Raw genomic sequence first — 19,200 nt, forward strand, 5'->3', positions numbered from 1 at the left:
CCTTACTTCACACAAATATTTATATAGTGTTTACTATTTTTCAGGCACTATTCTTGGCACTTGGGATATATTAGGGAATAAACACTAATTCCACTGTGGAGGAGCTAATGTTCTAGTGGAAGGAGGAAGACAATAAATAGGGTAAATAAATATTGCAGGTTAGACAATAAGTGTGGTGGGAAAAAAATAGGACAGATTGGAGGATTCAGGAGTACTGGGTCAAGACGTGAGAGTATACATTTCAATTTTAAATAAGATAAGCCCCACTGAGAAAATAACATTCAAGCTACATGATATTGTATGAGCAGGAGCTTTTTATTTTGCAATCAGCTGTATTGTTTCACATGGGGAAAACTAGAGATGAAACTCAATAATATGACATGGTTGAGATAATAAAATAACAAAAAATGTATAATATTGGGTGCTCTGGTAATGACTTTGCATGTGTCATTTTATTTAATCTTCATGACAATGTTATACAATTGGCACTGTTATCTGTCTGTGAGGAAAGTGAGACCAACAATAACCGACTTGCCCTGGGTCACACAGATAGTAAGCGGTGATTCCAGAATTTGTATCTAGGTAGTCTGATTCTAACTCTACTCCCTTAATTACTAGCCATGTTCTCTTGAGTTCTTTCATACCAAGGAAAATGTCGCTATTATTCCTGACGTATCTTCAATAACCTCAATAATTATTTTGCACTGTGTAGGGCCTTTGAAAAGATGGAGGACACACATTAACTTTCCAGGAAAGATGGTGGTGCTCACATTTGATAAAATGAGAGTTTAACATCAGGAATGAAGAAGGCATGAGACTTCCTCTTCTCACTAAAAATGGGTTATGCGTGATTAGGTGTTTCTCACCCACTCTTAAGAGAAAAAGCATGCATGATTAATATGAATGGGGGTTCAAGTGCATATATCAAAGGGAGAAACATCCTCTTGCATTTTAAAGATTGCAAATAAATATAGTTTAATCTGCTATACATAATTCATATTAGCAACAACCACCTCAAAATTAATGTCAGCCCATGTTAAGATTTGTGAATGACATCTCTAAAGCTTTGCTTCAGGCTATTCTCACAGAGACTGGTTAATGCCTTTATGGCTAATTTCCTGAGGCTTATTTTTTTGGTCTTTCCTGATGAAATATTAAGCTCTTTTTAAAAAGAGATTTATCTGATAAAAAAGTAAACCCTTGTTCAACCCGTTACATAGATTTTTCTTTAAGATAGGGTGAGGCTTTGCATAAAAATTGAAAAGATTGCAGAGGGTTCAGTAACACTAGAGGATCTATGAGATGTTTTTTTCTTATTGAACTTGACCTCTTACTGTTCAGCACACTCTAAATAAGGGATGTTAATTTCACTCCCAAACATACTTTATTGCTTTGGATATTGAGAAGACTGTTAATCTGCTACTTAAAAAATCTCAGAAGGCAGGAAGTAATTGCAGAATTTAACACTGAACAATATTAAACTCTAATTTGACTACTCATTCTGATATTAGGGGTTATTTCAAAAGTAAAGACTAGAAGTTCTAAGAGTAAAGAGATAAGAGTTGTGTGCTGTATTTATTCTTTCCTCTTCTTTTGGGAAGATGCCAGCACCCCTTCAGTAACAACGCAAGAGCGTCTTTTCAGACTTCTCTTTGCTTTTGGTAAAAACATTTATGTGTGTATCGAAATTTGAACATTCTCCCTGAAATGGTACTCAAGGAGATTTCTAATCATTCAAATAATCTCCTAATTTCTCTTATTTCCACCTCAACGTTCCCAGGCCTTTCCTAGCTCTGTTCTTTTTATTTTGTTTTTTTTACTGTATTGGAGGAAAAAATGCCTATCTTCACTGCCAAGGCCAACACATTCATCTCTGCCAGAGCAGCATTCACTTCTAGTTTCCTCTGGGACATTACTCCCTTGGGTACCTATTTTCTTACTGGTGTTTTTTCACCTCTCTTTCTAATGATTCAAATCAGCTTCCAGGTATGCTCAGCCTCCCTACCCTAATATCATAATCCTTCTAAAGTATTTTTTCTCCTTAGTCCTTTTCTGCCCTCTCCTCTCTCTTCTCCTCTTGTATTTTCTCCCCTGTGTTCTATCCCTCCTCTTTATTTATTTTCCCTCACTTGATTGCCAAACTTCTCAAAAGTGCAAACTGTGTCTACTTTCTTAGCATCCTGGCATATGAAACAACCATGGCCTTGGAGGTAAGATGACTGGGATTTCTTTCCTGATTCTATCTTCTGGTGTGTAACTTTGACAAGGGACCTGAATTCTTTGGCTTGCAAATACCGTATTATATCCCTCTAGTTTCCAGTGATGGTTACACAAACTAATAGATGATAGAATCACATATCATTTCTCTTGGAAGATAGCAAATTTTCAAGAAGTAATAACTAACATGTATTCTTCAGGGTACACCCTTCTCCTTTCCCCTAAGATGAGCTTTTTAAAAATATCATCTGGAAAGGAGAAGAAATAGTACAAAAGAATAAGTAAACATTAACAAAAAATACTGAGTGTACATAATACATAACGTAACAAAGCATTAGATGCAGGGAACTTGGGTCACAGAATAGACATTAGAAATTCCATTTCTTTTCTCAGAGCTATGATGCTGTGGCAATACATGTAGGAGAGGCAAAGTGATGAGAGAGAACCAGAAGCAGACTAAGATGAGGAATGTGGTTCTTCTAGGTTGTCCTATTGTGATAGATGGTCTCACAAGATGTCCACAATTAAGTTTATTCCTCCCATGTTGCTCCATGGAAAGATGGGTTTTCTTCCTCTCCCCTTGAATCTAGACTGCATTTGTGATTTGCTCTGACTAATAGAATATGGTAGTAGTGATAGTTCCAGGCCTGGACTTTAAAGGGATGGTGGCTTCAGGATCCTCCCTTGGCAGTGAGATGCCATGTTGTGAGGAAGTCCAAGCCAACCACATGCAAAAGCCAACTGGGAAAGGAGAGATGACTGGCTATCCCCTAGTGGGGCCAGCCATTATGGCTGAGGTACTGCTCATGTGAATAAAGACACATCTTGTACTTTCCAGGCTCAGAAGAAAGTGGAGCAGAAGGACTATCTGGCTGAGTCAGCACTGATTCCCCAATGATTAGATATAATAAAGTGTTATTGATTCAATCCAGGAAGTTTTGAGGTAAATTTTTGCACAGCATTAGATAACAGACACAATTACTAATGAAACCAGCCCAATTGTCCCATATAAATGATATTTACAGGTTTTTGAATCAACATAGAAATTGATCTTCCTCATCTTAAAACTTGAAACATATCTGAGTTCCTTCCTAAGAAACCAACTCTGGGGCAAGGGAATGAGACTCAGCAGATCACCGCATCCAGACAATGAAATGCCAGACCCCTCATCCATCATGATTGCTTCCTTACCCCTCCCTAATTCCTCTCCACACATAGCTACATCCCTTCCCCACTATATAAATCCTTCAACTTTAGTTGTTTGGGGAGATTATTTGAAACTGATCTGTCCCTGTGGCTTCAGCAGCTGATTAAAGCCTTCCTCCCTGGCAACATTTGTTGTCTCGGTGATTGGCTTTCTGTGCAGCTAGCAATGAGACTTAGACTGACACTAACACTAATATACTTCAGCAAGTCATCTGCATTTGCTGATCCATTCTAATTTATCAAATGAGACAACTGAACTAGCTCATTGCAAACATGCCCCACCCAGCCTGAATTCTGGCCATCCATCAGTTTTGCATGTGCAAGTATTTTTACTGATAAAAGTTAGACCCTGAGTTCAAAAAGTCTTAGAACTTCACTCTTATTTCCTTTATGACTTAAGTCCTCTCTCATCTGTCTTTTTCTACTTTAAATGAAGTTAATATCATGGATCAACTAGATTAAATGAGATAGTCTATGTAATACATAATTCTGGAATGTGATAAGTACACCACTTTCCATGAAAGCTCTTATTATTAATGAAAGAAAGAGGAGGTCCCACAGCCTGACCCAGAGTTGTGTACTCTGATCCACACCATCAGTGGAAAAGAAAGTGCCGTTTGTGAGTTCTAAAGATAAATGCTGTAGATGTTTTCCAACATGGTGACATCTCTGTGTTTCCCTCCTTAAAAACCTGATAATAATCTTCATACTTCTTTGGAAAACTTAATAGAATGTAATGTACTGAGGCATCACATCCTTAGTCCCTCTTAAATTTTCTTTGTTAGATAATCAGGGCAGAGTATCAGAAGTAATTAAAATTAAACTCTGCCTGAAAATATGTTAATAAAAAGTATGATATGAGATTATAAGTATTGTTAAGCAAAAGTTTTAGAACTATGTAGAAAAAAAAGTACAGAAGACAGTGTTAAAAAAAAAGAAAGGAAGGAAAGCATGGCTAGATAAAAAAGCTGAAGAAAAAGTTAAAGGACATATGGCTCTGTAGCCCACTACAAGTTTGCAAAATTCATTTCTTTTTGTAGACACAGCTTGATATAAGCTGAATCCTGACAAATTATTCTTTGTATTCAGAGTCACTTAATTTAAAACAATGTAAATTCAAAGGAAGAAGATAATGTTCCTAACCTCACTGTGACCCCAGTCCAATTTTGCTACACCACCTCAAGCGAGTCAAATTCACAATTTACATGCAGGAAGTTAACCACAAAATTAGAGCAACTCTTTATAGGCCCCAAGGTTAAGCATCAAAGGCAGAAATCCAATTAAAATGTTATTTGGATTTTCCAATAGCAAACAATCTGGAAAACTTACCAGATTATGAGAAGGATATGTATATGAAAGCTAGAGATTATGTCTTGCATAAATCAATAAATAAAATTTAAAAATGTTTATTCATTTCTTCAACAGAGATTTATATTTTTGCAGATTACATACAAGATTTTTTAAAGAATTGTGGAGAAAAGATAAAAAATGACTTCAGCCCTCAACTTAAGAAGATAATAATTTTTAAAAGGTAGCTAAAACATTCAAATATCTATGATGGTAGGTAGGATATTAAAATTCTAGATGAGTGATGCACATAAAATGAGACAGCTGTTTAAGGGAGGAGAAACTCCTTCCAGGTTTAGGGATGGTAAGGATTGCAAATACTTGTATACAATATCTAACAAGTACATTAGACTTTGAAGATGCACACATGGCACAAGCACATTGTTACACACAATTCATATTCATTTATTTCAGTCACTCAGAAGATATTTGTGCATACCTGCCTAGCTTTCACATGCTGATAAGACAGTCTCTTTCCCGAGCTGTATAATATGTGAGTGGGAAGAAAAGGTGCTTTATTTAAATTAAAATTAAACTATAAGGCTGATTTGTAAAATATAAAAGCAAAAAACCTCAAATGAAGAGGGTAGACAGACTGACGAGTTAGCAAATAGAATCATCTATCAATTAACAGTGGGGACCTGGATGTCAAGTTGCCCGGTTTGAATCCTGAATATACCACTTCCTAGCAAAGCTGAATTTAGTCATCTGTAAAATTGTGATAATAAAATTAGTAGCTGCTTCTTGAGGATTGCTATGAAGATTAGATACCGTAGTCCTCCCTTATCCACGGTTTTGCTTTCCATATTTTCAGTTGCCTGCAGTCTGAAAAGAGATGAAAAACTACAACAAGATATTTTGAGAAAGAGACCACATTTACATAACTTTTATTACAGTATATTATTATAATTGTTCTACTTTATTATTAGTTGCTGTGAATATCTTTTGGGGCCTAATTTATAAATTAAACTTTATTATAGATATGTGTATCTAGGAAAGAAACAGTAGTATGTAGGGTTTGGTCCTAGCCATGGTTTCAGGTATTTACTAGGGGTCTTGGGAAGTATCTCCTGCAGATAAGAGAGGACTACTGTAATACAGTGCCTGGAATATAGTACGTGCCTGGAAAACTGAATAATTGCCGACAGTATTAAGATTGATGTGAAACTACCTAGACCTGGAAGGGCTTGGTGGAGGTTCAGGAAAGAAGAAAATGTTTGAGCTAAGCTTAGAATAGTCTTTGGACTTGCTGGTCACAAAAGAAGAGCTTTGTTAAAACAAGGACACTGTTGGAATTAGCAATCACTAAAGCTTCAAAATCTTTTAACTTAGAACCATTAGGTTCTCACTCATCTTTGGAATACCTCTGAGATTTACCTGCATTGGCATTGTGTTCATCTTTTTCTTGATGGAATTTAGGCTCAGAGAATTTTAGAAACTCGTGAAAGTCAGAAAGGAAACTAATTTTCTAATTTTCAAATATGATGCCTTATACATCAACTAGAGAAATATACTCTCAATTTTAGTTTGCGAGGTAGACTCGAGTCTAAGTGATCCTTTCTTTGTGTACTACACATAACTAGTTATGTCACTAAAAGACAAAAATAAGGAAATAAATAAATATATAAAATGAACGGTAATGTCTCTACCTTAATTCCCACATCAGTAAAACAAAGCTAAAAATTATCTTTGCCTCTATATTTCTAAGTAATGTTTGATATAAGTATGAACCATGACATCTTAAATAAAAACCTGAGAGAATAAATGATCTAAGGGGTGCTTCCAAGGAAAGGTGTTATATAAATATGATATATTTTCATTAATAGCTATAAACTGTGAGTCCCTGAGAGGATGGGACCTTAAGCACTTCTGTTAAACCTCAATGATCTTGTGAAGATGTGTCTGGTCATCACATTTTCTATAATACAAACAGTTAAAACACCAACATGATTAGAAGTTAAATTAACGATAATTAGAAAAGGCGATACCAGGAATTGATTTAGTAATTCACCCTCTGAGATATCACTTGTATTGTGTTCAGTTTCTTAGCTTACCTATTCTATTTTCAAGTACCTTATTATGAGTTTATTTCACTTCCCCCCAAAATAATAGATTTTAGCTTTGTACGTATTTGAAAATTTATAATCCATGTTTTGTGCATGTGTAACTCTCAGCTCACCAATATATTTCATTATCTGAAACAGCCTAAATCATTCCATATATGTATGTATTACTTTATAAATAATGCACATGTGAGAAAGTGAGGAGAGGCTGCAGATGTTCAGTAAAGTGCTTGGTTAGACGCAAACAATATTATGACTGGAAGAAACTCAACTAATTATCCAGTTCAGGGTTGGCAAATTTTTTTCTGTAAAGGCCACACAGTAAGTATTTTAGACTTTATGGGCCATACGGTCTCTGTCACCACTACTTGACTCTGCCATTGTACCATAAAAATAGCCATAGATAATGCAAAATGAGTAAGCATGACATATTCCAACAAAACCTCATTTACAAAAACAGGCGGCCTGCCAAATTTGGCCCTAGGGCTGAAGTTTGCCATTGTATAAACTAATGCGACTCACCTATTTCACGTGTGAGGAGATTAAGGCATAGAAGATTTAAGTGCCATTATTGGCTATTATTAATTGAATTTTCATGGGGAGAAACAGCTCTGTCTGCTAACATTTTTATTCTGCTTTGTCAATGAATCAACCTTCCACAAGGCTTGCTGGAATGATCTTTATGAAATGCAGAGCAAGACGTGTCTTTTCTGTGTTTAAATTCCTTTAACAGATCCCTGACTTCCATGTGAGATTCAGTCTCCTTGTCTAGCGTATTTAGGATCTGTAATCATGAGATTTCTGATCACTGCATCGATTCCATAGCCTACTCCGTTTTGCAGGAAGGCTCTATTAAGCCCCCACAGTATGATAAACTGCATGACACATAGGAAGTGGTCCTATTTTATTTACTTTATCTCCCATGTCTAACATAATGCTTGATACACAGTAGATCCTGAATAAATAGCTGGAAAATGAATGGATAAATTAAAAGCTGAGATCAGAAAAGAGTTTTAAGGCAAATTTGACAGAATACCTCCTTGCTTGGCCCTGACTAAAGTTTCCTGGGTCTCACCACGTGTTCATGGAAAATGAAAGGACTAGGATCAGAAACCCCCTCCCAGGTGACCTTCATCAGAGCTCACTTCATCAGCCTGTCTCCCTAGTAACCCATTTCTATATTAATGTCTGGTTACTCACAGGGCCCCATCTGTACCGCTCCTTAATTGTGCAAAAATATTCCACGAACTAAGTAAGGACATTGCTATCGTATTATCCAGCATGGTTTTCATCAGCTGGTCACACTTCCTTCTGCTTCTTCAATGTCTCTAAGGAATTTGATTCTCCAAATGTTCAATTTGTTGTGAGGTAGCACAACCTAGAGTTACAACTTGTATTCCTAGGGCTATTACAGTGACTCACAGTAGGAGAGGATATTTTGATACCTGGATCACTGAACCCACCTGGGATGCTAATGTATATGTCCGTGTAATGTGTGGAATTACCATCACCAGAAGGTTGTCTTCCCCAAGGCAGTATCCCCTTCCTCCAGGAAAATGCAGAATTGTTATCACTGTAACTCCATACCAGCAGCATCCTTTCAAGGAAGGTCTCACAGTCTTAGCCAAAAAGAGCACACTGTGATGCTGATGACACTGTTTTTACTAAGCTAGACAAGGTTTCTTTTTAAAAATATTGGCCACCAAACAATGGGATTGTGCTTTCTTCTGCTTTTAAAAGCATGATTTTTTTTAACTATCTCCACTCAAGCTATTAAATTAACTGATTAAACATATTTATTAGCCAAATACTTCCTAAATCATCAGATTGATCTGGAGACTATTCAGAAGGGAAAACTTTTTCTCTACCCTTTTACATTCAGTATTGGAGGCCTATGAATTAAAAGGACAAAAGACAGATTAGCAAGATAAAAGATAAAGTATGTTCATATACATACAGGAGAGCCTGCAGAAAATGTAGCTCCAAGAAGTGGTTGGAATAGCATCTGAACTAGTGGGATGCATTAGGATTTCAAGGGACAATAAATGGTGAGAAATGACTGTGAAATATATGGGGGAAATTAATGGAAGGTAAGATTTGAGTGAGAAAGTCCTGTTTATGCAATTTCTCATCCCAGTACCCACTTCTCCTCTAAGGGGACAGGAGTCACTCCACGTGGTACAGGAAGACTTCCTTAAAGGGGGATTTATGACAGTTGATCCTTTTGGAACACTTGGCTTTTAGGCAGACAACAGGAATGCAGAGAAAGCTCCTTCCTGCATGTTTGGATTCTCAAATGCCTTTAGTTCAAGATAATCCTTATGCCACAATGACATAACGTGAACCCCTTCAAGAAAAATGACACTCCACAAAGAAGAAAATCAAGGCAAAGAATTCAATCATTCTGGAAGACAAACCTTTTGACTAAGGTACCCAAATAATATTGTAGATGTGTTCGAAAGCCCTAAGTTAATGTGACTAAGTATTCACTTTATTTTTCAATCAAGCAGAGCCATCTTATTGAAAGTTGAAACCAGGAACACTCTAATTGAATATCTCCTCCCAGAAGATTAAGAATTTCTTATTAATATTTTATCTCTAAATGAATCAATTAACTTCTCAGTACAAACTGTGCCTCTTTTTAAAATATATAATTTGGTAAATTTATTATCCAATATAGCAGAGCTGAACTTTTTGAAAAAGAAGGGTTCTCTGTTAGTGTGTGGCAGCATCCATAACATAATTAGAAGCTCAGAATATTGGGGCTAAAAGGTGTCTTGGTAAGCTCAGCAACTGATCCTTGGCTTTATAGGGAGAAAAAGAGGCCCAGAGTGGTTAACTGGTTTACCCAAGGTCACATAGTGAGCTCGTGCTTTAACTAGGACTTGAATCTTGGGCTCAGTCCCATTGAAATACTTGAAAAGAGTATCTAATGACTTGTAGGTTAATGAATAGAAGCACATTCATCAGATTAATGCAGCAAAGCCCTGGATATTGAGAAAACACAAAATGACTTAGAGCTAATTAAATACAGACACAAATTAGAAAATGAGGCTTAAGACAGAATATTAATAATTTCTGGTAGATATCTCATCTTTCTGCTCTTAAAGCACCCTATGCTGTCTTCTCTCACAACATAATGTCACCTTCTTGATTTCAATTCATTATGCATGGGTTCAATTCTGTGCTACCCTCCCATTTATATGTTGAAGTCCTAACCCCCAGGACCTCGGAATGTGACCATGTTTGGAGATGAGGTCTTTACAGGGATCATTAATTTAAAGTGAGGTCATTAGAGTGGACCCTATTCCTATATAATTGATGACCTTGAGAAATTTGGATGCAGAGAGATGCACAGAGGGAAAACAATGTGATGAGACATAGAGATAAAATGGCCATCTACAAGTCAAAGAGAGAGGTCTGACACATATCCTTCTCTTATGCCCTTAGATGGAACCAATCCTACAGATACCTTGACCTTGAACTTCTAGCCTGCAGAACTGTAAATCAATAAATCCCAGTTGTTTAAGCCACCCAGTTTGTGGTACTTTGTTAGTGCAGTTCTAGCAAATGAATGCACACTATTTACTCAATTTTTCCCCAAGGCAACCCGCACTTCTACCCTGCCCAGCACCAACAGAGATGGTGCGGACTTCTCCTTATCATCTCAGAAACTTCCAGTGTCTGGCTTTTCCTGGGTACTCAGTTAGTGCCTGTAACTGAATTGCCTTACACTAAATAGAGTACTTGTACTACTCTAACTCAACTCTTATTCACAACAGCTCCCTACTTTGGGTAGAGTAGTTTATATTATTCTTATTTAACTGATGATTTTCCAAAGAAGATAATGACATTCCCATGTAAGGTTACAAAGTATTACAAAGGAAAGAGATGACAATCCACTGAAATGCTTTCCAAATATAATCCAAATATAATAGTCCAGTCTTTAAAATCTGAGTTGCTTTTTGTTGAATCTGAAACTGCCTTTAATTTACCACATGCAGCTTGAGGGGTCTTTCCAGTGGAAACTGTTTTCCGTCAGGGAAAAAAATAAGTAAACAAATAAAAGCCCTCAAAACTGATCACTAAATCAGCTCAGCTTATCAAAACAAAACAAAAGAAAATCCCCCAATTAAAACAGGATTTAAAACAATGAATTCAATTTTGGAAAAGAAATTGCCAAGTTTGATTTGTACTGATTATTACGTGTTTCAACAAACTATTTAAAGTAGTGGATCTTTCTGGGGTTTTACAGAGCTCTGTGTCCATAGAAATCCTGAAATAAACTCAAATTTACCAATTTTGTATTGTTTTCCAAGAGGAGTATCCACTAACACTGATTAATAATAACAAATGGATAATTATGTCATTTTATATGTTCTTTTGTTACACATAAAAATCTAGTATTTCTTAAATGCTGGCTACATGCTTTATACATCAGTTAGCACTCTGGCAGAAAATAAAATGGTTTAATGAAAAGAGTTTAACTGAAGAAAATTTAATGAAGGCACATTTGTGCAGAGTGACAGGCAAAGTAAGGGAAAAATCAGTGGTTGGTGAGGTACCCAAGGCTCAGCAAAAGTGAGAAGCTATTACAACCTTAGGCCTGAAGATGTGGGGAGTTACCATCAGAGTCCAGAGGAGGATTGTGGGGGATGGGGTACCTGAGAGGGAGTGTAGCCATGGAGGAACACAGCCACTTCTAGAAGAGTGGTAAGGCAAGGCTTCTCTCTGGTCAGGACCCCCTATGACCTGGCAATCCCACACAGAAGTCCCAGCCCTGGGAGCCCAGATGATACACTCTGTAAAGCTCTGTTGGTCTATTTTTGCATTGCTATGAAGGAATATCTGAGGTTAGGTAATCTGTAAAGAAAAGAGATTTAGTTGTCTCATGGTTCTGCAGGCTGTACAGAAAGTATGGCACCAGCGTCTGCTTCTGGTGAGGGCTCAGGAAGCTTACAATCATGGTGGAAGGTGAAGGAGGATCCAGTGTATCACATGGCAAGAGAGGGAGCAAGAGAGACAAGGTGGAGTGCCAGACTCTTTTAAACACCCAGAACTCACATGAACTAATAGTTAGAGCCCACTCATTACTGCAAGGATGGCACCAAGCCATTCATATGAGATCCACCCTCATGACCCAAACACCTCCCACCAGTCCCCACATCCAACATTGGGGATTACATTTTACTATGAGATTTGGAGGGGATACACACCCAAACCATATCAAGAGCTTAATCTCCAGAGACCAGTTAGACAATGAATGGGAGGGGCAGTTTCAAATGGAGAACAGAGTATTTTATATGAACCATCTAACTGAATAATCTTCAAACCCCATGACATATTTTACAAATTTAGAAGCACAAGATCAGAGAAGTTAAAAATGTGCCCAGTTTTTAATGAGCAAGTAGAATGAGGAGTATATTAGTCTGTTCTCATGCTGCTGATAAAGACATACCCAAGACTGGGCAATTTACAGAAGAAAAAGTTTAATGGACTTACAGTTCCACATGGCTGGGGGAGCTTCATAATCATGGTGGAAGTCAAGGAGGAGCAAGTCACATCTTACACGGAGGGCAGCAGGCAAAGAGAGAGCTTGTGCAGGGAAACGCCCCCTTATAAAACCATCAGATCTCATGACATTTATTCACTCTCACGAGAACACCACAGGAAAGACCTGCACCCGTGATTCAATTACCACTCACCGGGTCCCTCGCACAATACATGGGAATTCAAGATGAGATTTGGGTGGGGACACAGAGTCAAACCATATCAAGGAGCAAATGAAATCCAACTTTGTTTTAGATCTAATGAAGAAGAACAAAAGAAAAATATTGTTTTGCTTTCATACAATACATTTCTTTTAAATGAAGGAAGGGGAAGAGGGCATTATGTGAAACTTGAGAAAATTGTAGATGAGTTTTATGTCAAAGGACTTTGTGTTTACTTCAGAATGTGGAATGACTTGACTTGGTGTGGAAGAGGAGCAGAGTCAGTGAATTGACAGGAGGATGGAGAACGTGCCAGACGAGAAAGTAATGGACATATGTTGATAAGGATGATCAAAGACCAAAGAATGAGGCCTGCCCAGGTGGTGCATGCCTGTAGTTCTACCTACTTTGGAGGCTGAGGCTAGAAGATTGATTGAGCCCAGGGGTTGGGTCCCATCTAGGAAACATAGCAAGATCCTGACTCAAAAACAACAACAGCAAAAAGACCAAACCTCATAAGAAACAGAAAATATTAAGAAATGAGTGGGATAGGAGGTTAAACAAGATAACTAGCTCTCGTATAACACTATATAATTTACTAAAATTTTAGTATAGCTCATATGACTTGATACTCAACAGATCCTTGAGAGATCTATTATAACTATTTCCCGCCTCATGTTGTAGATAAAAAAACAAGTTCACAGAAGTTAAGTAAATGGTAGATATGGAATTTGACTGCTAGCCTGAAGATTGTCTAATGAACCAAGAATAATTACTTGTTTGAGAAGTCTGGAAGTAGTCTGTGATATGAAATGTCACCAAACTATGATGCAACTCTGTGAGTACTAAAGTAGAAATTTAGTTGTTTTTAGTCATTTATCTAATCAAATAACTATTTCTAATCAAGGTATGCTAGCTAACTATGTATTCCAAATCCTTTTAAAATTTTTTATTAGACACCTTGTGCCCCAAATAAGAAAGCTACTAAACATGAGTATAGCCCAGGGCTTTGATAATTTTCATTAGCACCTTAGTTTAACTAATGCATTATCTGTTAAATAAGTCTGATTAACACTTCTCTACATAATCATTTTCTAATGCGTGCAACTGTTGCCTCTAGAGATTAATTGCCAAGCTTTTATGTTCAACTAACAGTAGATTGACATTTAGCATCTTAGATTTATAGATTTCCTGGTATGTTATTGGACTGTTTTCTTTGGATGGATTCCTCCAACCATTTGAAATTGGATTTCTCCAAGGATAGGTCGATGTAAGCAGTGGAGCTAATCACATCATTTTACTTCAGCCTCTTCTCACAGAACTTGGTTTATTATGATCTTAAAACCTCCTGGGATATTTTTCTAGCTCTGGATGTATCTGAATGTACCAGGTAAAATCAGGACTACTGTAATTCATCCATTTGCTGTACTATCTTCTCGTTCCATATAGATACCTTTATGTTGACATGACAGTATTAGAAAAAGACAGCTACCAGAGCCCTGCCCACCCATCTACAAGGTCAAGAACTATTCCCACCAAACTATTGAGGCCTTGTATATACTAGGTGCTTAAATGACATTTGATAACCTGGTTTATTGACTTTGAAGAATACTAATTTAGTTACTTATTTAATATTCCAATGCACACCTTCTTCAGGTAAAGTGCAATGTTGGCTATTGAGGAAAAGATAAGTTTGTGGCTTCAACTATGGGAATAGTGTTTTAGTTCAAATCCTTTAGTTTCAAAAGAGATAAACCTTTCAAACTCAGTTAAAATAATGAATGAAATTAAGTGGAATCAAAGGCAAGGAGTACAGAGAGGTCATTGCTTCTCTGAACCTAAACATTATTGTCATTGTTTCTCTGCATAGCTCTGTGTTTCTGTGTCAATGGCCATCACTACATTTGATTCTATAATATTTCTACTGCAATCAAGTCACTAACATAGGCAAAGGTTAACTTGTTCCAGGTCAAAATTCCTAGGAAAAAGAATCTGATTCATCCAACCTGTGTTAAAAATTAATACTTGATACAATCAACTGCTGCCAATGGATCTGGCTCCCGTAATAAATCCTCGGCCACTAAGGACAGCTGGGTAGAAATGACTATTATCCAGGAAAGAGGAACACACCTGGCCAACCCCTTTCTTTCTGTAGTACATAGGGTATCTACTTTGACCAGTTTCTGAGAGTAGTTTGCTTCAACTCTCCCTCTTCCTCTATGACTGATGGCAGACAATCTAACATTTAACTCTACCTCTGTATTAGTCAGGGTTCTCTAGAAGGACATAACTAATAGGATATATATATATACACATACACACTCGTATATACACACACACACAGATACATATATATATATATATATATATATATATGTAAAAGGAGTTTATTAAGTATTAACTCACATGATCACAAGGCCCCACAATAGGCCATCCACAAATTGAGGAGCAAGGACAGCCAGTCTGAGTCCCAAAACTGAAGAACTTGAAGTCTGCTGTTCAAGGGCAGGAAGCATCTGGCATAGGAGAAAGATGAAGGCTGGGAGGCTAGGCCACTCTAGTAGTTTCACATTTTTCTGCATGCTTTATATTCTAGTAAAACTAGCAGCTGATTAGATTGTGCCAATACAGATCAAGGGTAGGTCTGCCTTTCCCAGCCTACTGACTCAAATGTTGATATCCTTTGGCAACATCCTCACAGACACACCCAGGATCAGTCCTTTTCATCCTTCAATCCAATCAAGTTTACACTCAGTATTAACCATCACAAGTCTACCCATTGTCAACTTGAACCCACACACATCTCCTGAGCTCATACATAACCTTCAAATAAAGACAATAATAAGGTCATAATTACACCTAACATAATACAACTATCTTTTGTACAACTGGAAACACACCAATACCCAACCCAAATACTATTACAGAAAGTTAACAATACTTAAATGCTGCTATGAGGTCAATAAATTTTATGTCACATGATAAAGGAAAAAGGAAATAAAATGAAGATATTTTCTTAGTACAAGTATATATGTGCACAAACATGTTTTTAAAAAAAGGAAGGAGGAAATACTCAAGGGAATTACAGTCCTTGTTTCTGCAGCTGGTCTTGGGATCATAGCTGGTATTGATGACTACCTTCTTCTACTGCCCATTCTATATTCCCTTTGCCTTCAGCAAGAACCTCAGCAGGTCATGGTTTTGTTTTGTTTTGTTTTCTGGTGGAGTGACCCAAACCTTTATTCCTGAAGGGTGTGTGCCATTTGTAGTCCTGCCTGGATTGGGCTGTTGTAGTTTCCCATTGACCTTAATCAGAGGGCATGGTAATACTAAGAGACGCCCTAATGGATCTCCTGTATTCCATGCATACTCTCCCTTACCTCTGTTGTAGAGTGGTAGATGATTTCATCTTGATAGTCTGGATCAATTGCCCCAGCCAACACTGTAACTCCCTTCTTAGCCTGTTGACTTAAAGGTAGGAGGAGACCAAAGTGTCCAGGTGGCAATCCTAACTTCCAGTTTAGTGGGATCTGGGATCGTTGTTGTGTATCCTGGTGGAAGTGTTCCTCCCTCTGGAACTAAGACCTCTAGCCCAGCAGAAGGTAATATTGCAGGAACAGGAAGCAAAAATTTTGCTAGTGGATCACAGGGGTGATGGTGAGTGGTGCCACTTCCACTTCCACCCCTTGATTCCAAGACCCATGAATCCTGGCTATGGGAGAAACAGTACCATATATTGGACACTGATTCAGAGCATACACGGGCTTCTGGAGAACTTTGCCCCTGCCCTGCAAAGTATTGTCACCTAGTTGGCATTGTAATTGTGACTTCAAAAGGCCATTCCACACTTCTATCAATCCAGCTGCTTCAGGATGATGGGGAACATGGTAAGACCAGTGAATTTCATGGTCATGAGCCCACTGCCACACTTTTTTAGCCATAAAGTGAGTGCCTTGGTCAGAGGCAATGCTGTGTGGAATACCATGACGGTGGATAAGGCATTCTGTGAGTCCATGGGTGGTAGTCTTGGCAGAAGCATTACGTGCAGGATAAGCAAACCTATATCCAGAGTAAGTTTCTATTCCAGTGCCCTTTCCATGATGGAAGAGGTCTAATATAATCAACTTGCCACCAGGTAGCTGGCTGATTACCCTGAGGAATGGTGCCATATCAAGGGCACAGTGTTGGTCTCTGCTGCTGGCAAATTTGGCACTCAGCAGTGGCCATAGCCAGGTCAGCCTTTGTGAGTGGAAGTCCATGTTGCTGAGCCCACGTGTAACCTCCATCCTTGCCACCATGGCCGCTTTGTTTATGGGCCCATTGGACAATGACAGGGGGGTGGCTGGGGAAAGAGGCTGAACCGTGTCTGCAGAACAGGTCATCCTATCCACTTGATTATTTAAATCCTCTTCTGCTGAGGTCACCCATTGGTGAGCACTCACATGAGATACAAATATCTTGTTTTTGACCACTCAGAGAGGTCCATCCACATACCTCGTCCCCAAATTTCTTTCTCACCAATTTTCCAATCATGCTTCTTCCAAGTCCCTGACCATCCAGCCAAACCATTGGCTACAGCCCATTAATCAGTATATAATTACACATCTGGCCATTTCTCCTTCCATTCAAAGTGCACAACCAGTTGCATTGCTCAAAGTTCTGCCCATAGGGAAGATTTTCCTTTACCCTTCATCATTCTTCAGGGGTGTCCTACAAAGCGGCTTTAGTGCTGCAGCTGTCCACTTTTGGGTGGTGCCTGCATATTGTCAGAACCATTTGTGAACCAGGCCCTAGTCTTCTCTTCCTCTGTCAACTGATCATGGGGAACTCCCCATGAGGCCATCAGTGCATGCTGGGGGAGAAAAGCCAGGGTGGCTGGAGTGGAGACAGTGAGTATTTGAACCACTTCCTTATGTAACTTACTTGTTCCTTCAGGGCCTGCTTGAGCCCAATCACATATAGACCACTTCCGTTTGATGATCCAGTGCTGCTGTGCGTGACCCACTTTATGGCCAGATGGGTCAGAAAGCATCCAATTCATGATAGGCAATTCAGGTTGCATGGTGACTTGATGATCCATAGTTAAATGTTCAGTTTCAACCAAAGCCCAGTAACAGGCCAAGAGCTGTCTCTCAAAAGGAGAGTAGTTATTTGCAGAACATGCCTTGCTCTAAAATTCTAGAGGCCTCTGCTGTAATTCATGTATGGGGGCCTGCCAAAGATTCCAAACAGCATCCCTATCTGTCACTGACACCTCAGGCACCACTGGATCTGCTGGGTCATATGGCCCAAGTGGCAGAGCAGCTTGCACAGCAGCCTGGACCTGTTGCAGAGCCTTCTCCTCTTCTGGACCCCACTCAAAACTGGCAGCCTCTCAGGTCACTTGATAAATGGGCTGGAGTAACCCACCCAGATGAGGAATGTGCTGCCTCCAAGATCCAAATAGACCTACTAGGTGTTGTGCCTCTTTCTTGGTCATGGGAGGGGCTAAACGCAGCACTTATTCACCTTAGAAGGAAGATCTCAACAGACCCCACACCACTGGACCCCTAGAAATTTTACTGAGGTAGAAGTCCTTGAATTTTAGTCATATTTGTTTCCCATCCTCAGGCATGCAAATATCTCACCAATAAGTCCAATGTGTTTACTACTTCTTACTCACTAGATCAAATCAGCATAATGTTATCAATGTAATGGACCATTGTGATGTTTTACAGAAGCAAAAAGCAATCAAGGTCTCTCTGAATAAGATTATTACAGAAAGCCGGAGAGTTGATATACCCCTGAGGTAGGACAATAAAAGTATATTGCTGGCCTTGCCAGCTGAAGGCAAATTTCTTCTGGGGTTTATGGACAGGAATGAAGAAAAAGGCATTTACTAAGTCAATGGCTGCATACCAGGTACCAGGATATGTGTTAATTTGCTCAAGCAATGAAACCATATCTGGTACAGCAGCTGCAATTGGAGTCACCACTTGGTTAAGCTTATGATAATCCACTGTCATTCTCCAACATCCATCTTTCTTCTGCACAGGCTAAATGGGAGCATTGAATAGGGATGTGGTGGGAATTACAACCCCTGCATCTTTCAAGTCCTGATGGTGGCACTAATGTCAGCAACCCCTCCAGGGATGTGATATTGTTTTTCATTTACTATTTTTCTAGGTATAAGCAGTTCTAATGGCTTCCACTTGGCCTTTTCCTTCATAGTAACCCTCACCCTACCAGTCAGGGAACAAATGTGGGGGTTCTGCCAGCTACTAAGTATGTCTATGCTAGTTATGTATTCTGGCTCTGGGGAAATGACCACAGGGTGAGTCTGGGGACTCATTGGACCCACTGTAAGTCAGACCTGAGCTAAAACACTGTTAATTACCTGACCTCCTTAAGCCCCTACTTTAACCGGAGGACCACAATGACGTTTTGGGTCCCCTGGAATCAATGTCACCTCAGAGCCAGTGTCCCATAGTCCCCCAAATGTCTAGTTATTTCCCTTTCCCCAATGCACAGTTACCCCGGTAGAAGGCCAGAGGTCTCCTTGGGGAAGGATGAGAGAAAGATTCCTTGCATAAATTGTTGGTAATGTAGTGGAGTCCTTCCTCAAGGGGGACCAGCCTCCCCTTCATTCAAGGGATTCTAGGTCTGTAAACTGGCTT

The 19,200-nt window shown here is 38.8% G+C and overlaps 1 long non-coding RNA gene across 2 annotated transcripts in view; it reads left to right on the plus strand.

Annotated features, from left to right (window-relative positions):
• Nucleotides 1–19,200, plus strand: part of LOC107986059 (uncharacterized) — a 125,190-nt gene that overhangs the window by 90,614 nt on the left and 15,376 nt on the right. Inside the window, exon 5 of one of the 2 annotated variants that reach the window (XR_001740585.2) lies at nt 9,078–9,262. The exons of the other annotated variant lie outside the window; for it this stretch is intronic. This is a non-coding gene — a long non-coding RNA (uncharacterized LOC107986059). Of the gene's footprint in view, nt 1–9,077; nt 9,263–19,200 lie in introns of those variants that run through there. 2 annotated transcript variants of the gene reach the window in all.

The sequence above is a fragment of the Homo sapiens genome, chromosome 3 (genome assembly GCF_000001405.40).
Source record: "Homo sapiens chromosome 3, GRCh38.p14 Primary Assembly".
Lineage (NCBI taxonomy): Eukaryota > Metazoa > Chordata > Mammalia > Primates > Hominidae > Homo > Homo sapiens.